This window comes from Homo sapiens, chromosome 5 (genome assembly GCF_000001405.40).
Source record: "Homo sapiens chromosome 5, GRCh38.p14 Primary Assembly".
NCBI lineage: Eukaryota > Metazoa > Chordata > Mammalia > Primates > Hominidae > Homo > Homo sapiens.
In genome coordinates, this window is record NC_000005.10 from 55,017,097 (window position 1) to 55,035,883 (window position 18,787).

The 18,787-nt window shown below is 39.7% G+C and overlaps 1 protein-coding gene and 1 long non-coding RNA gene across 2 annotated transcripts; one reads left to right on the forward strand and one right to left on the reverse strand.

Moving 5' to 3' along the window:
• Window positions 1–4,202: 4,202 nt before the first annotated feature.
• LOC102467081 (uncharacterized) lies at window positions 4,203–7,073 on the reverse strand. The gene is made up of 3 exons (NR_104662.1): window positions 6,833–7,073; window positions 5,532–5,616; window positions 4,203–4,426 (listed from the first exon to the last, which is right to left on the reverse strand). It is a non-coding gene; the product is annotated as an uncharacterized LOC102467081 (long non-coding RNA).
• An 86-nt stretch (window positions 7,074–7,159) lies between these two features.
• Window positions 7,160–17,474, forward strand: GZMK (granzyme K). The gene is made up of 5 exons (NM_002104.3): window positions 7,160–7,290; window positions 7,564–7,711; window positions 13,338–13,488; window positions 14,268–14,537; window positions 16,669–17,474. The coding sequence occupies exons 1-5, from the start codon at window positions 7,227–7,229 to the stop codon at window positions 16,828–16,830; spliced, it is 795 nt and encodes a 264-aa protein (NP_002095.1). The 5' UTR covers window positions 7,160–7,226; the 3' UTR covers window positions 16,831–17,474.
• Window positions 17,475–18,787: the final 1,313 nt, after the last annotated feature.

Consider the following 18,787-nt stretch of genomic DNA (forward strand, 5'->3'; position numbering starts at 1 on the left):
GAAAGGATTCCCTGTTTAATAAATGGTGCTGGGAAAACTGGCTAGTCATATGTAGAAAGCTGAAACTGGATCCCTTCCTTACACCTTATACAAAAATTAATTCAAGATGGATTAAAGACTTAAATGTTAGACCTAAAACCATGAAAACTCTAGAAGAAAACCTAGGCAATACCATTCAGGACATAGGCATGGGCAAGGACTTCATGACTAAAACACCAAAAGCAATGGCATCAAAAGCCAAAATTGACAAATGGGATTTAATTAAACTAAAGAGCTGCACAGCAAAAGAAACTACCATCAGAGTGAACAGGCAACCTACAGAATGGGAGAAAATTTTTGCAACCTACTCATCTGACAAAGGGCTAATATTCAGAATCTACAATGAACTCAAACAAATTTACAAGAAAAAAAAACCCCATCAAAAAGTGGGCAAAGGATATGAACAGACACTTCTCAAAAGAAGACATTTATGCAGCCAAAAGACACATGAAAAAATGCTTATCATCACTGGCCATCAGAGAAATGCAAATCAAAACCACAATGAGATATCATCTCACACCAGTTAGAATGGCGATCATTAGAAAGTCAGGAAACAACAGGTGCTGGAGAGGATGTGGAGAAATAGGAACACTTTTGCACTGTTGGTGGGACTGTAAACTAGTTCAACCATTGTGGAAGACAGTGTGGCGATTCCCCAAGGATCTAAAATTAGAGATACCATTTGACCCAGCCATCCCATTACTGCGTATATACACAAAGGATTATAAATCATGCTGCTATAAAGACACATGCACACGTATGTTTATTGCGGCACTATTCACAATAGCAAAGACTTGGAACCAGCCCAAATGTCCATCAATGATAGACCGGATTAAGAAAATGTGGCACATATACACCATGGAATACTATGCAGCCATAAAAAAAGGATGAGTTCAGGTCATTTGTAGGGACATGGATGAAGCTGGAAACCATCATTCTCAGCAAACTATTGCAAGGACAGAAAACCAAACACCGCATATTCTCACTCATAGGTGGGAATTGAACAATGAGAACACTTGGACACAGGAAGGGGAACATCACACACAGGGGCCTGTTGTGCGGTGGGGGGAGGGGGAAGGGAAAGCATTAGGAGATATACCTAATGTAAATGACGAGTTAATGGGTGCAGCACACCAACATGGCTCATGTATACATATGTAACAAACCTGCATGTTGTGCACATGTACCCTAGAACTTAAAGTATAATAAAAAAAATTACAAAAAAAAGAATATAGTTTGGGATTATCTAGTGTAACTAGCAATTCAAATATATGATTGTATTTTCTATAATATTTACATCAAAGCCTTAATTTTAAACTTATTTGCACATATTTCTGTAACATAACTAATGCACTGAATATTCCCATTCATATTGTCCTTATGTGGTATTATGGTTAACAACTTAAGTCCTTCATATTTCCTACTGGAGTATATATAGTCTGTGAACGATCTATGCATCTGGAATTTTTGTAATTCTCAATGTGATTTGCTTATACCTAGTAGAATAAGTTGAATGTGGTATAAATTTATAAACTAATTCATTCATTAATTAAAAATAATAAAGAAGATACTTGGTAACTTCTCAAAAAAAAATTTAGAAGATTATGCTTTTGTTGATAATCTCTTCTCAGCCTGCAGCCTTTTTATCAAATACTTGCTATAGCAGTTGTGTTCTTAGCATATCAAACTTATGTTTATTAAGCCTTGCAAAAATGTAAAATGTGCTTCATTATTTATCCTGTAATAGTCATCAAAATTATTTCTAAATATCATTTATATACCAGGTCCCTAGTGAGGTAGTTTAACTAAAATACTGTTTTATTTGTCTTCATATTGATTTGCTCACATTGAGCCCACTTATTGTTAAATTTATTTATAAGGACCCTTCATATATTAAAGATATTGTCTTTGGGGGGAAATGCTTTCAATGTAAGTGACAAGCATTTTGCCATATGTCTTTGGATATTGCCTATGGTATTTTCTACCTTACAAAAGTCTTCTATGCTCTAACTTATTGATAGTTTCCTTTATGCCTTCCTCTCTTAAACATTATTTTTAATTTACCATCTCATTTAGTGTATATAATTATTTCATTTCCTAATAGAAAAAAGGGTGGGAGGGGAAGGTTGTATGTGTGTGTGTGTATGTGTGTGTGTTGTTTGGTCACTTTTTGGAAAAAGTATATCATATCTAGATTTCTACTTGAATTGATTCTCAATGGAAAATTAGTGAATACTGAATCAATCGATAACACTTGCTGTGTTCCAGCTTGACCATAGCAATTACTGTGTTTCCCTCATTAATGAATGTGGTCGTTCATTTTGAAATTCCTACTACTTTGCCTGCTGTGACTTCGTTTATTTTGTAAAATCATCCTGACTAGTTAAACAATTTAATTGCTTTCAGCATGATGAGATTATTTCTTGTAATGTATCTGTTTCTATTGTAAAACAATGATAACATATTTGGCTTTGGGGCACAGTACTGTATCACAGTAGTGTATCTGAGATGTTCAAATATAAATGGAAGTGTTCCATTATAAGGCCTCCCATCCTCAATTGATCATTTTTCCTTCTTTATTCAACAGTATTTATTTTCTTCCCTCCCTTCCTGCCTCCACCTTTCCTCTGGTCTTTATTACCTGGTCCTTCTCTGGTATTTTTCCCTTAACTTGGCCTACATATTTACCCGTTTTCTCCCTATAATACTGGTAGGCTCATATAGTCCTCACCTTCCTCTGTGCAAGGCAAGGGTACCTACGAGCCTGGAGCTGAAAACCTTCCTTTGGCAGTCATTACTGTTGAAAGGATTTCCACATGTGCAAATCTTTCAGGACAAGTAATTGCGGACAATGTGAGTGATCTGTCTTGAGTCCAGCGACATCACAGGGACCACCCCATGTGGCACTTTCCTCATCCCACCCATAACATTTGAACTTAGTTAAAATGAACATCAAAGCCTGCTCTAAAGAAGAAAAGAAAAAGGAGTCATAAAAGGGCAGTGTAAGGCCTGGAGACAAAGTTGAGATAGGGACAGTGTATGACCAGGCAGCCAGCACCAGCAGTGCTGGGACATCCCTATTTGCCAAGTCCTCAAGGTATTTTCCTGATTACTCCATATGTGAGGATCCTGCACTTAAGGCAATTCTCATCCATTCCAGTCACTTCATAGCTGACGTGGAGAGGAGTAAAGGAAAAGGAAGTTGAAGTACTATTGTGTGACTTAACTCAATAATGATGGTTTAGAAAACGTATCTTCATATTTATGAAAGGAAGATTTAACATGCAAAATATATTCTGATTTAAAGTTGAGATAGAGGAAGACAAAACAAATTTCCCTCAATCTCACCTTTGCCACCACCATCATTCCACCAAGAAGAGGCCCTAGAGCAGCCCTCTGAAGTATTTACATTTAAGTTGCTTAGGAAAAGGCAGTATTCCAGGTGCCCCAACCCTTATTACAGCCCCAGCTCTGAGTTGAGGGGTACTTTGCTTTCCTTGCCAACTGCCCTTAAGCTCATTCATTTTAAGGACCTAGTGGGAGGGATGGCTGTAATCTGAGGTGAGATTTACATTTTCTTGAGAACTTCGGACTTAATATCATTATATAGCACCCCAATATCCTTCCCAAGCCCAATTTTCAAAGCTGCCATAGTTTCACTATGGGTGTTAGCAGATACATTTACCAAATTAGCTAAGCCATTACTGGACAGAAGTCAAGGCCTGAAGGGTGGTGGGCTACAAGGGAGGGATCCAGTGAAATTCTGCCAAATCCTGATGTCAAGTGCCAAGGGCTGGGGATGGTTGGATAGCTTGGGAAAACTTGATATTGAGAACATTTTTCAAAGGAATGTAAAAGGGAATAAATGGGAAGAGCTTGAAACAAATCTGCTTTGCACTTATGTCTACAGAGCAGTGTTTCTCAGACTACCTGTGGGAAAGACCAATGTGTTTGGAGTTTTAGTTTGTTAATTTGTTTGTTTTTAGTTTCAGCCCATTGTGAACTGATACGTTTATACAACACAAATAAATAGAAAAAAGTAATTAAATAAAAAACAAAGGCATACAAAATACACACCCAATTTTTATTAGATTGGACAAATTTTATTTCATTAATAAAATAAATTAATACAGTGCCATGTTAAGTCGCTGTTACAGTTTCTAAACTCTGGCTCTCAATTTCTGTCCCCATCTTGCTCCAAATCGGTAACAAAGAGGTTCGGAGACTGGCACAGGTCTGCGGGCCATGCTTTGATTGGCATGGCTCTAGGGGGTGTGGCTTATAAATCTGACAGAGCAGGTGTCTGGGCTGTTGAAGAAAGGCAGTCCAAGGGATAGAACCACACGAGGCCTTTGGAGCAGTGGCACAGCTGTTCTATAAGGGTCTCCTGAAACACAGGAGAAGCAGAAACAAAACATCTCTAAGAGCAGCAAGAAAGACAGCTAAACACAGCAAAGAAGAGCCACAAGGCTATGACGTGTGAAGCCAGCCCTCCTCTGAGCACAGCCTTGCACTTGCTCAGTCCGGTACAGTTGCTGTAAAGCCATCCAAAGCAAACATGGCCCTCCCTGCAGCAGACTCAACAGAACAAAAACCAACACCCAGAAATAAATTAGATCGCCGAGCTCATCATGTTACACAGCCCACTGTTCTCAAATCCAGAATCGTGAATATAATAACAAATGATACTATTAACTGGCAAATCGGTCTAAAGCCAAAACCAAATAACTCATTACTATTAACCAACATGATTCTCAGAATTTTCTAGGTCAGCTACAAGAAAGAGTTATGAGACTCTTCCCAACTGAACTAAATCTCACCCATGTCTAATTACACGCAGTGTGTATGGCTAAATCCTTTTTCTCTTCTGCACAGCTAGCTTGTGTCTCAGAGCCCCTAAACCCCCAGGGACTTCTCAAAGGAGGCAGGCATGTAGCCAGGTTGAAAGGAACATAGAGCCGGGAGCCAGCACATAGGAGCTTAAGGGCCACCTGCTAGCTCGGTAATCTCAAGCAAGTCCCTGAATTTCAGTTTATTTATCCATAAAACAAGACTAATGACAACCACTTCCCTGGAAATACAGCTAAAAACGTTCAGCAATTTGTACAACGCTATGTGGACATTAATCCTTACTACTCAGAAATAAGCAGCTGAGAGATGTTTGTAACCATTCCCATTTCCCCCGCCACACACACACACACACACACACACAAAGCTTCGTCCTTTACAATTTATTTCTTCCTTAGAGTTTGGATCACTTCTACCTGTCACACACCATCTTCCTTACGATCCCAGCATCACTGGGATGTAGCAGGGAACTGACGCCATCCTGTCTGCCTTCCAATGTGGAACAATGGCACACAGTAGAGCATCCAAGGTACATCAACAGTGACAAAGATGACTTGAAAATTCACAGGGACATTTGAGTGGGAGTAATAAGTTTGGTTTATTAAGCTTGTGGCTTTTCTTAATCTGGCTCCTCCTTATCTCACCTTCTGCTCTGACAGGAAGTCACTGCTCTGCGTTGGTTTTGTTCATTCTGTTTAACATGTAGAAAGCTTTACTGTTGCCACACACCTGTACAAGGAAAGCAGGTTTTTTATAAAATTCTGTGTTCTGGGAGGGTACTCATTCACATACAACTTAACATACAGGGAGGTCAGGCAGGTGATTTGGTCTAGGTCATAAGCTGTGTTGCCTTGGGCAAATTACTTAGCCTCTTGGAACTTATTTCTTCCATTGTAACATAAGTTGTCCTGCTTTCCTCAAAGACATAGACATGAAACCATAAATGATCATATAAAAAGAATTTTGGAAATAAGGTATTTTACTTATATATTATTAAGTTATAATGAATAATACATAATTATAGTATTATTTTTTATTATTCCTACTCTTTGTGCTAGAAAACAATTTGAAAGGAGTCTCTTGCAATCTGCCGAGCATAATAGCTCTGGATTTTAATTCTCCTTTCTAAAATGAATGGAAGATAAAATGCATACCTCTTAAAAGAAAGATCTGTTGATTTAATGCAAATTTTGATCAGTGTTACTAGGAAGTGATTGGCATTCTGATGCGTGATCTGTTTGTATTCATTTTATATTTGCACTGCTGATCAGTGTCTGGCACAAACAGAATCTTGTAGAATCTTGAGTCTAATACCTTTTGTATTGAAGGCCTGGCAATGCATTGTCATCTGTTCCTGGGAAGAATTACAAAATGCAGTCCTTTATTTTTAAAAGACATTATTATTAAGTCCCTGGAAAAACACATGGCCATTTTCAATTAAAAATGAGTAAAAGAGAGACTCTGAATCAAAAATAGTTGCCAATGTTCACCTTTAACAACATTATGAAATCTCACAAAAATGTAACTAAAATTTAACCAAATTTGGGCAAACTTAGAGAAACGACATGAGTAGGGATGTTTGCTGCAAAACATATGGTTTTCTCTGGTTGGTGCTCAGGCTTTAGCTAAGCCACATTGTGAAGTAACCATAATCTGTGCAAGGTCCATGTCTCTCTTCATCATAAATCTATGTCCAAATGAAAAAGAGAGAAGAATGAAATATGATAGGCACCATTTTGTGCCAGGAAAAATAGTAAGTATTGCTTGAGAGCAATGGACATCTTTGAACTCTGTCTGCAACTTCATTACATTCTTATGGCATGGATATTTTTCATTTATAAATATTATATACACATATAGTATAAATTTTCTTTATAGCATAAGTACTCTGATACAGGTATTAGAGATGGTATCTCCAGATATGAGTTCTTTATGGCATACATACCTCTCCCAAAAAAGTGCTAAAAGCAATTAGCCGGATGTGGTGGTGGGCGCCTGTAGTCCCAGCTACTCGGGAGGCTGAGGCAGGAGAATGGCGTGAACCCAGGAGGCAGAGCTTGCAGTGAGCCGAGATCGCGCCACTGCACTCCAGCCTGGGCGACAGAGAGAGACTCCGTCTCAAAACAAAACAAAACAAAAAAGTGCTAAAAGCACAGACCTGAAAGTCCCCAAACTGATACATAACGTTTACACCTAGGTGTGAAAAAAAATCTTACCCCTAGAGCACCTGTGGTGAGAAAGTCAAAACTTACAAGAACAAAACTCAGTCTTCAGAATCTTCTTCCTTCATCACAGGATCAACACATTTCATCTGGGCTTCTTAAATCTAAATCTTTAAAATGACTAAGTTTTCTTCCTTTTCTCTGTTTTTCCTAATAGTTGGGGCTTATATGACTCATGTGTGTAAGTATCTCCTATATCTACATGTAAACATTAAATGAATTTCTACTGACTATATTGTTATATTATAGATGAAAATTATTTTCACAATCATTCCTATCTTTCTGAACTGTAATGTATTATACAAATTTTTCATCAGTAAAATTATTGTAGCTTTTAGGTAGGGTTATTGTTGTTTTTTAAGCTTTGAAAATAATATAGTGACTGTCATTGGAAGAATTACATGAAACAGTAGTTTAGATCTTTTGTGTGAAACCTTTTGGTCTACTTTTGTAGGTTTCAATATGGAAATTATTGGAGGGAAAGAAGTGTCACCTCATTCCAGGCCATTTATGGCCTCCATCCAGTATGGCGGACATCACGTTTGTGGAGGTGTTCTGATTGATCCACAGTGGGTGCTGACAGCAGCCCACTGCCAATATCGGTGAGTCCTCCACACTTTTCCAGACATGTGTTTTTTCTGAAAGTTATTATAGGTACAAGAGAAGCTTACCTCTCCTGAATGAGAATTTGATCTACTGTTAGCTTCTGTGGTTACTGACCAACTGGTGGCGTTTATTTACCTTCTTCCACATCCACGCTTTCTGTCTTGGGTTTTCCTTTTCAGAGAGAACTGAGCTGCTTTTCCCAGGCAAGACATTAGACAAATTCAAGTCCTCTGTATAATGCAGGGAACACAGCAACAGTAATACTTGAAGCAGCAGTACTCTTGACCTTGTTAGATCACACTGCTCAAAAGGAAATCAGACAACCTGAGCTTGCTCTGTGCTCTGAGCTTCCCCATTTTACAAAGGGGTAATAATCATATCATACCTGCTTTGTGGGTTTTGAGAATTAAATAGTATCTGTTTAAGTATTTTAGCATGCTTGGCACATTTAGTAAGCACAAAAAAATTGCAGCTATTATCATTAGTATTATACGCATGAGAAGCCTACTTTGCCACTCCTAACAGTAGCTACCTAACAGTAGCTACTCACCACTTACAACTTTCCTAGGTGGAAAAAAACAAGTTATTGATGACTTCTAGAAAGAGAAAGATAATGAGAGAGTTATTTTCTAGGATACTTAGAATGAAAGCTTTTCTGAAGACAGAGTAAAACCTTCCAAAGTCCATTTCAGCCTAGGATTCTCTTACTTCAGCTAATAAAGCACAAAACCCCTCTTGGGATGCTGCAACCATCACAAAAGGAAATGCCAGTAGAAAACTAATTTGGTATTTGTTGTTTTGTTTGTTTGCTTGGGTTTTTGGTTTTGTTTTTTGTTTGTATATATGTTTCCTTATGTTTCTTACCTAATAAGCTGAAATGGAGCCTTCTCCTTTTCTTTCACTTAAAGATCTCTCTTAGCTGTAATGGTTTGCTCTCCAGGCATTGTCTATATCTAAACAGAACAATTGAATTGATTTGCTTTTCTATGCTTTGGGGGTTTTGTCTGATTACCCCATTTAAATGGAACTGTTTGATCACAAATTGGAAGTTTTGAAGCCTGCAAACTGGGAGATCTTCTGCTATCTCTAAATAGCAAGCCACTGATTTCCAATTTAATATGGTTACTTCATTTACACAGGGTTCTTGCCCTCATAGAAATCACACTCTCATCCCCATCACTTCTCTCTTCTCCAGGGCATTTGCCCCCTCGAGATCAGAGAGACAGAGTGGGGAACTGTCAGCGAATGTTCATTTGATGCAAAATATGCACATCTTCAAATATGCTCATAATACACATTCAAATGGTCTATAACCTCCCCAGACACAGAGCTTGACTTCTAAATGTTCAACAAACTTTGGATGGAAAGAAAGAAATACACTGAAAGATCTTTCTTTCTTTCTTTCTTTCTTTGGCTAGGCCTGAAACATGGTGTATGAAAAAGTGCTTCACTAGCCATAAAGTGTTATAGGAAATTAAATAATATCACTAAGTTGAATTTTAAATTTTGTCAAGTGGATTTAACTCACGAGAAGCGGATTCCCAAATTGGGGAAAGAGATTATTGACAAAAGACTGGAGAGAGGTCTTGGAGTTTTTTGTGTTTTGTTTTTTTTTTCTTAAAACAAACTATTGCTAAATATCATTTTAAATGGCTGGGGTATAAAGAACTGCAAAATATGTAGATCAAATTTCCTCTACAGGACACTTGGGTGTAAAAAGTAGGCAGATCGGTGGTTGGAAAAATATTAAGCTTTATGAAATTCAAAATATTTACAAAATAGCTCAATGGTGGCTTCCCACAAATGTACTCCCCAGTATCCTGTGGGAATAGTTTGCCCCAAGCCTCTCTCTCAGCAAAATTTTGAAGAGGGCCAAACCTGGGAGTGCTCCCTTCTCACCAGCCATCCACACATCTCCTCCCTCAATATTCTGGCCCCTTTATTAGTTGCCATGTCAAATATAAAAGGAAATTGATAAAAAATGTCCTGTACAAACTTATTTTCAGCATTTTAACTTACCAGAAGCAAAACTCTCACCAGCTGTTGTACCCTGTTCTCCTGATTCTCTCCCAGGCCCCTCTCACAGAGCACTTCCTCCTGCCCCAACCTGCCTAGCAAGTTGTTAGATGGAACCTTCCACAGCCCCTTCCACATGGCCTCACTCCATCTCAAATGCTCAAGGCTCCTGGAACAAAATGGTTCAATGTTCAGGCTCTAGATTCAAGCCAACTGAGCTTTAATCCTGCCCGAATTTGCCTCCTGGAGGCAAAGGTCCTCAAGTTTATTCGTTTACCTGAACCTCAATTTCTTCATCTATAAAATGGGGATTGTCATAATACCTATCTCACCACGCTGTTGTGCGGTTTAAATGAGGGAAGCTTTGTAAAATGCTTAGCACAGAACACAAAGAACTTAATAGATGTTATCGAGTATTGTTATACAATTATCTGTGCCTTCCATGGTAATAACCAAGGAACTAATCTGATGTTGACGAGATAAGACTGGGAAGACCTCCCTCTCTGACAGCCAAGTTCTTCTCCCTCTCTCTTAGGCAAGAGAAATCTCCAAGACATAGGGACCCTGCCTTTGCTGCCAGACCTCAAGGGGCGGGTCTAAGCAGAACCACTGTTGAGTGTCCAGGCGCGCTGGCAGAGAAAAGAAGAGGCTTGAAGGGGGTTGGCACGGGGTTCAAAGAGGGATTGAGGAAAGAGCACTGGACTGGGAGTCACCAAAAGCCAAATTTGGGTCCTGATTCCCCTATTTATGAGGTGTGTCACCTTGGACCAGTCAGAGAACAATCTTTTACTGGTAAGGAATACACAGCCCGTCAGCTTTACCAGCCTTGAAAAAGGTTATTGTTAGGCTCAATGGAGACAATGTTTACAGATGTCTTCAGCAGACCCACTATAAGCCGCACTGTAGTTCTGCTCCATATATGAATCTCTTCCAGGAAAGCTCAGGGTGGGACTCCGGAAACCACATTTTAAACCAACACCTCCAGGTGATTCTGAAGCAAGTCTGAAGACTGCATTTGGGGAAATCCTGTGCTGTGCAACTGAAAAACACTGGCATTATTACTTCCTCTTTGTGTGAATTCAGACTTCAGTTTAGCTAAGGAGGTGGCATCCCAGAACTCAAGTAATTCCAGGTACCCTGTGGGCAGAAAATTTGACCTGAGTAGCACAGATTACAGTTGAAGGATATCTAGAAATTGAAAGGTCAGAAGGAATAATGGTCTGCTTGGGTTGTTTTTGGTCTTAACATGTCCCAGTGGAGACAAAAATAACCAAAACATTTCAAAGGCAATAACTAGCCGAGTAAATTAGTAAAAGACGAAAGAAACCCAGACATTTTTTCAGCATCCCTCCCTTAGTGAGAATCCACCCTCCATACCTCTCATTTGTACCTCATAGCCTTCTTTGTGTGAGTCATTTAGGCACGTGCCCACCTTTCTGTTAGAGCATTCATCCTGAAGATTTTTATGTCATCCTTCTCCTACAAAGTTTTGGGTTTAGTGGGTATGTTGAATTTGAATTCAAATCAATCCTAGGAAATCCAGTCCACATCCTATGAGAAATTTCCACCCGGTCCTGATTTTGCAATAGGCAAACTTTTCAACAAATAGAGCTGGAATTCCCAAAATAAATAAAAATAAACTCTTTTGGTAGAAACCAAAAAGTGGTCATTCCAGGCAGTCACAGCTCTGCCATAAGCAAACCCACTCTACCACAGGCATTTGCCATTTTCAAATCTGAAACAATCATGTCTTCCTTTTTCTGTATGTTTCTGTGCTCTTTGTAACTTTTATTAATCTTTATTAATCTATATGCATGAGTATGTGTGTTTTTACTGCAATCTACTTTGGTAGCTTTTCCAAGTAGCAAAGAAATAGTTACATGTAAACAAACAAATACAATTAAAAGATCTGAGGTGGACTTCATAAAGATAGACACTGTAATGGAATGTATCTGTAGTATACAAATGGCTCTACGGTTCTGCCAAAATCTCCAAAAAATTATTTCTACTTTATCACTGCTGTAAATGTAATTTTATCCAACAAAGAGTAAATCAGATCAATTGTGGCACTGTTGAAACACTGGTACTAGAACTGTGTATGACCAGAGATTTAAAAAGCAAACCTTGCCAGGCACAGAGACTCACGCCTGTAATCCCAGCACTTTGGGAGGCTGAGGCCAGTAGATCACCTGAGGTCAGGAGATTGAGACCACCCTGGCCAACATGATGAAATTCCGTCTTTACTAAAAATACAAAAATTAGCCAGGTGTGGCGGCACAAGCCTGTAGTCCCAGCCTCTCGGGAGGCTGAGGCAGGAGAATCGCTTGATCCTGGGAGGCGGAGGTTGCTGTGAGCCGAGATGGCGCCACTGAACTCCAGCCTGGGAAACAGAGCAAGACTCCTTCTCAAAAAAAAAAACGTTAAAAAAGAAAGCCAAAAAACAAACCTATTTCTTCACCTCACTCACCAGTTCGTATCCTCTAAATCTCCCCGATGGAATGGCTACTAACCTTAAAGTATCTTCATTTTAAATTAGCACTGTTTTCTTACCTTGAGGAAAGTTTTCCTTTCTTGTCCAAATCTTTGTTCTAATTGAGGGGACAGGACATATGGACATATCTGACTGTCATGTAATAGGCCTTACTTCCCCACATTGACCTGAGATGAAGTCTAGGCATGTGGGTGAGCAAGTGTAGGGTGGGGATCTTTGTGGTTTTTGTTTGTTTGTTTGTTTGTTTGTTTGTTTGTTTTTAAGAGATGGGGCCTTGTTCTGTCACCCAGGCTGTGACACTTCAGCCTCCAGCTCCAGGACTCAAGCAATCCCTCCTGCTTCAGCCTCTCAAACAGCTGGGACTGTAGGCATGCACCACCATGCCCAGCATGCACCAGTGTGCCCCTTAATGTTTTTTTAGAGATGGGGGTCTCACTGTATTGCCCAGGTTTCTCTCAAACTCCTGGCCTCAAATGATCCTCCCACCTCAGTCTCCCAAGTGGCTGGGATTACAGGCATGAGCCACCACACCTGGCTACCTTAATTATTAAAACACTTAATGTTGGGAAGATAAAAAAAGTTCTGGGGTTCTGGAGATGATAGTGGTGGATGAACAACAATATACATGTCCTTCATACCACCAAACTGTACATTAAAGAATGGTTAAAATGGTAAATTTTACCATTCTTATACCATTATGTATACTTTACCACAATAAACAAATTTTAATGGTAGTTGGTGTAAATCTCAAACTACAAACTCAAGGAATATAATTTGCTTTATTTTTACATAAATGAACATAATTTTGTTTTAAACTTGATCTAAGTCAATTAGGATTTCACTCCTTTTTCTTCCCCCAGTTGGATACAAGTTCTGATATTCTTTTGCAATGCCAGGGAATTGGTTTAGGGTGGGATTAAGGGCAAGTCATTTGGCCCTTAATATCAATTCATGCTGGGCTCCACTAAGACCTTTGTCACTCCACCTAATCTTAGGCAGGTTACCTTGGAGATAGCCCTTGTTTCTCTGTGTATACAACCCTCTCGACCATCACCACTCCCCACTGGGGGATTTGGAAATCATTCTGCTGCTTTCATTGTCTTTGCTTTTTTTAGGTTTACCAAAGGCCAGTCTCCCACTGTGGTTTTAGGCGCACACTCTCTCTCAAAGAATGAGGCCTCCAAACAAACACTGGAGATCAAAAAATTTATACCATTCTCAAGAGTTACATCAGATCCTCAATCAAATGATATCATGCTGGTTAAGGTAGGTAGTAGCATTGTCTTCCTTCTATTTTGTCAACATTTTTATACAGGATGGCTCAATTAGTTAAATCACCTACAAAATGCATTTTGCTAGCACCCTCCCCATGTTTGAGGTGATTATGATATATTTTATAAGGGCCCATGTTATTCCATATACTGTCTTGAAAGAAACAAGAATTTATCACAAATGCACCAGGGCTGTGTTTATACAAGGAAAAGCAACTCTGATACTCAACATATGTAGGAGGGGAACATCTTAACAGGCCCAAGGATCCACACTGAAAGCTTTTCTCCCAAATGCTTTTCTCATTAGCAAGTAAAAAAATACAACAGTTGTTTATACAACAGAGCCAACCAAGTGACTTCGGGGGCTCAGCAGTGAGTTACAGCTTAGTCTAGACCACACTTAATTTAGTCCGAACTTGGTCTAGACCATACTCAAGGGTCCTATCCGGCAGGAAGCAGCCCAGCCCTCAAAGTCATGACCTATGGATGTTATTCCACACAAAACCATCCAATGCAGGGCAAAGGCCAGTTTGCTCGAGACTGAACAAATTCCTGCTCTCTATAAGCTCCCGCCCCAAGCCTCAGTGAGCTCCTCGGGGAGTAGAGAGCATGGTCAGAAAAGCAACAACCACAAATGCAGCTGCAGGCCACCACCAAAGTAGATCCCAGAACAGGGACGCCCGCCTAAGACAGAGGGACCACACATACGACGCACAGGCTAGCATCAGAATACTACTGGGAAAGAAATAATTCCATCTTTTTTCAATCTGTCAGCTTCAAACAGCCGCAAAACTCAATAAACATGTCAAGATGCTCCACATAAGATCCAAAACCTCTCTTAGATCTGGAACCAAATGCAAGGTTACTGGCTGGGGAGCCACCGATCCAGATTCATTAAGACCTTCTGACACCCTGCGAGAAGTCACTGTTACTGTCCTAAGTCGAAAACTTTGCAACAGCCAAAGTTACTACAACGGCGACCCTTTTATCACCAAAGACATGGTCTGTGCAGGAGATGCCAAAGGCCAGAAGGATTCCTGTAAGGTAAGAATCTCTCTTTCAAACAGGCATCTTGGAGCGCTGTACAGTAGCCAAGCCTCTATTGCTCACTGACACTGAGGAGGAGGGAGGGGCATGGAGAATACAAAACCACAATTCTAAACACTTTCTCTTCATTCCTGCACAGCATTCTCTATTCTTTTTCATCTACCAATGTGGATGGATTGTAAAAACTTCCCCAATACTTTATAAGCACCCACTAAATGTTTGTTAATCAGGATAATAGACCATATCTGACAACTTTTACAGGCTTCCTATGAGAGGTGTTATCCTCCTTACAAAGTCTACCAACCCTGAAGTCACTAGTGGTGATTAGAAGATAACTTATTTAAAGAACCACCTTGCAGATTAATCAATAAGGAGGCCTTAAAGACTCAAATGCAAAAAGCTCAAATATACAGTATGTGTTTCATAAGTAATGCTGACTGACTGTCTTCGTCTGTTTGGGCTGCTACCACAAAATACCATAAACTCGGTGGCTTATAAATAACAGAACTTTATTCTGTTCAAGATCAAGATCAAGGCACCAGCACATTTGGTGTCTGGGGAGGGCCTACTTTCTGGTTCATAAACAGCTTCTTTTCACTCTAATCTCACATGGTAGATGGGGTGAGGGGTCTCTCTTAGGCCTCTTTAATAAGGGAACTAATCTCATTCATGAAGCCTTCACCTCCATGACCTAATCACTTCCCAAAATCACCACCTCCTAATACTCTCACCTTGGGAGTGAGGATTGCAACATATGAATTCGGAGGAATCAGACTTTCAGACCATACCACTGACTAACAAAAAGGAACAAAAGGCCGGGCATGGTGGCTCACACCTGTAATCCCAGCACTTTGGGAGGCCAAGGTGGATGGATCTGTTGAACTCAGGAGTTTGAGACCAGCCTGGGCGATATGGTGAAAACCCGTTTCTACAAAAAATACAAAAATTAGCCAGGTGTGGTGGCACACGCCTGTAGTCCCACCTACTCAGGAGGCTGAGGGGGGAGGATCACCTGAGCCCAGGAGGTTGAGGCTGAAGTGAGCCGAGATCTTGCCACTGCATTCCAGTCTGGGTGACAAAATGAGACCCTGTCTTAAAAGAAAAAAAGGAACAAGAGTCATTATGTTTTTCAAAATCATTTGTTTATTGAGATGGTAAGGAAAAAAATAGGTGTTCATGTTTGTATGAACTATACTAATATATAGCACAAATGAATTACTAATTTTTTAAAAATTAGAATACAGTATTCATCTCATACTATATTAAGTATAATTGGGGGAGAGGATATGATGACTTCAAATGTCTTGTGCATCTGCAGTACCCAAGACCATCACCCTCCTAAACATCGGTTATCATGGTTGACCAAAGTATAAGGCACTGCAGTTTGCAATGTGAACATTAGCAAAGAGAAAGGCTGGTCTTCAAATGTAGAAGCCAGCTCTTCATCAAAAGGCCATGCCATCCCCTCTATAGCTCTTTCCCTTCACTTGATAGAATTTAGTTACATGCTTTGCTGTTAGAGTGTCTTCAAAAATCATTTCATTCACTAAGTATTTACTAAGTATGGTACATATACATAACACTATGTCCAACCATGTGAGGATGCAAAAAATAAATAAATAACAGAGAACATATAATTCCTGCCATGAAGACATTTACTACAATACATTGCTCTTTTCTGCTAGCCTCAATAACAACTCGATTTTAGGTCTGTGAGCATCAAAATGAAATCTACAATTTTAAAAGATTATTTTATTTCAGTGGATTATTTAAAACTTTATCCATTCTTTAATAAATAGTCAATAGTCATTGATTCCCAGAGGAATGTAGACATAGATAGGGACAAAACAGAGATATAGACATGGACACTGAGACAGAGGCAGAGGCATAGTCATAGTCATAGATAGAGACATAAACAGAGAAGCAAGTAGGCAGAAACATAGTCCTTGACAGAGACAGGCACATGGACAACCTATAACGAGTAAGAGGCAGTGTCAGACACTCTTCTGGACATAAAGAAAGCAAAGACCCAGATGATAATCCCTTGAGCAATCAGCAGTTGGTGGTTAAAAAACAAAAATATCCCAACAGCTTCTTACCACGTATTTGCCCTTTTTCTTCCTTCCAGGGTGACTCAGGGGGCCCCTTGATCTGTAAAGGTGTCTTCCACGCTATAGTCTCTGGAGGTCATGAATGTGGTGTTGCCACAAAGCCTGGAATCTACACCCTGTTAACCAAGAAATACCAGACTTGGATCAAAAGCAACCTTGTCCCGCCTCATACAAATTAAGTTACAAATAATTTTATTGGATGCACTTGCTTCTTTTTTCCTAATATGCTCGCAGGTTAGAGTTGGGTGTAAGTAAAGCAGAGCACATATGGGGTCCATTTTTGCACTTGTAAGTCATTTTATTAAGGAATCAAGTTCTTTTTCACTTGTATCACTGATGTATTTCTACCATGCTGGTTTTATTCTAAATAAAATTTAGAAGACTCTCTGTTTGTCTTTTATCACATGAAGTAATATCTGCCCCCATTGCACCCACACTCGCCAAAGGGCAATAAGGTCACTGAATAAAACAGTAATGGTACCACCTTCAACTAGGTGTAACTTCTGCTGGATCATCCTAAGTTGTTGGGTTGTTTTCTTTTCATTGTTGTGATAACATTGAACATGAGATAGGCCCTTGCAACAAATGTTTAAGGGTATGATACATTATTGTTAACTATAGGCATGATCTTGCAGTGCAGATCTCTAGAACTGCTTCATCTCATATAAATGAAACTTTATGCCAGTTGAATAGCAGCTCTCTATTTCCCCACCACCCCCATCCTCTGGCAACCCCATTCTACTCTAAGCTTCTATGAGTTTGTATTTTTTAAATATAAATCATAAATATAAATATCCTAATTCAAGCAAGCAGCTTATACAAATATTTGGACAGTATTTCTTATTTATATATGTCATATTTTGTTCCAGAAAGGATTGAAAGCAATGTACAACAACGCCTGCAATAAAACAAAATGCAGAATTAAAAATAAATTGATGAAGGTATTGGGACAATGGGGAAATGAGAGTAAGAAAGAGAAGATGAAGGCCGGAGTGGTCACATGGTACTGATAGTGCCAGAAGTTTATTTCTGTACATTTGCTAGAAGGATTCAAATTTGGCTCTATGCTTTGGCCAACGCAAGAAAGAGCAACACAATCAATTATATGAATTACAGTGTCCAGGAAATAAAAATAAATTGTTTACCCAGAAGTAGGACCCCTGGTGCTGGAACTAAAACTAGAGAGAACTTTTTTCCACGGTCCTCATAAGAAGGACGCTGTGACGGCCGGGCGCAGTGGCTCACTCCTGTAATCCTAGTGCATGGAAGGCCAAGGCAGGTGGATCACGAGGTCAGGAGATCGAGAGCATCCTGGCTAACACAGTGAAACCCCGTCTCTACTAAAAAATACGAAAAATTAGCCAGGCTTGGTGGCGAGCACCTGTAGTCCCAGCTACTCGGGAGGCTGAGGCAGAGAATGGCGTGAACCTGGGAGGCGGAGCTTGCAGTGAGCCGAGATCACGCCACTGCACTCCAGCCTGGGCGACACAGCGAGAGTCTGTCTCAAAAAAAAAAAAAAAAAAAAAAAAAAAGAAGAAGAAGAAGAAGAAGGACACTGTGCCATGTGTCCCATATCCCCACCAACTGCATCAGAACCACCTCTAAGATTATTTGTAATACAGGTTCCCTTGACCCCTTGCCTAGAAATTCAGATTGAATAGGCTTGGTGTGGGCCTGAAAATCTGCGTTTTTTTCAAAGCAACTCAGTTGATGCTGATAAATGGGCAAATCTGAAAGCCACTGATAATGAACATCCTTAGTGACTTCTTATAATAAAGACAACAATTGATGTGAAGGGATTGTTACAAATCTCTCATTGTGAACTGATGGCTTCAGACCAAAGTGCAATTCAGTAAGATCACTGGAGGATCTCAGCTGTCTCGGACTGTGGTCGTCCAGTGATTAGAGAAGTAACAGTTTCTAATTTGGGCGGAGGAGCATGGTGGGAGATTGGTGGGGGATGGCGTCAACAGTCAGAAGCCAAAAGATTAATCTCAGCCTCTATATTTAATTTGAGTTTGGGGGGACAAATAGTTCTCGTTTCCAGGCAACATCAAGTTCTCTTACATGCATATAGAAATAGATGCTTTTGGTAGTTTGTTTATTGGCTTATCTTTTGTCATGGTTCTTAGAAAC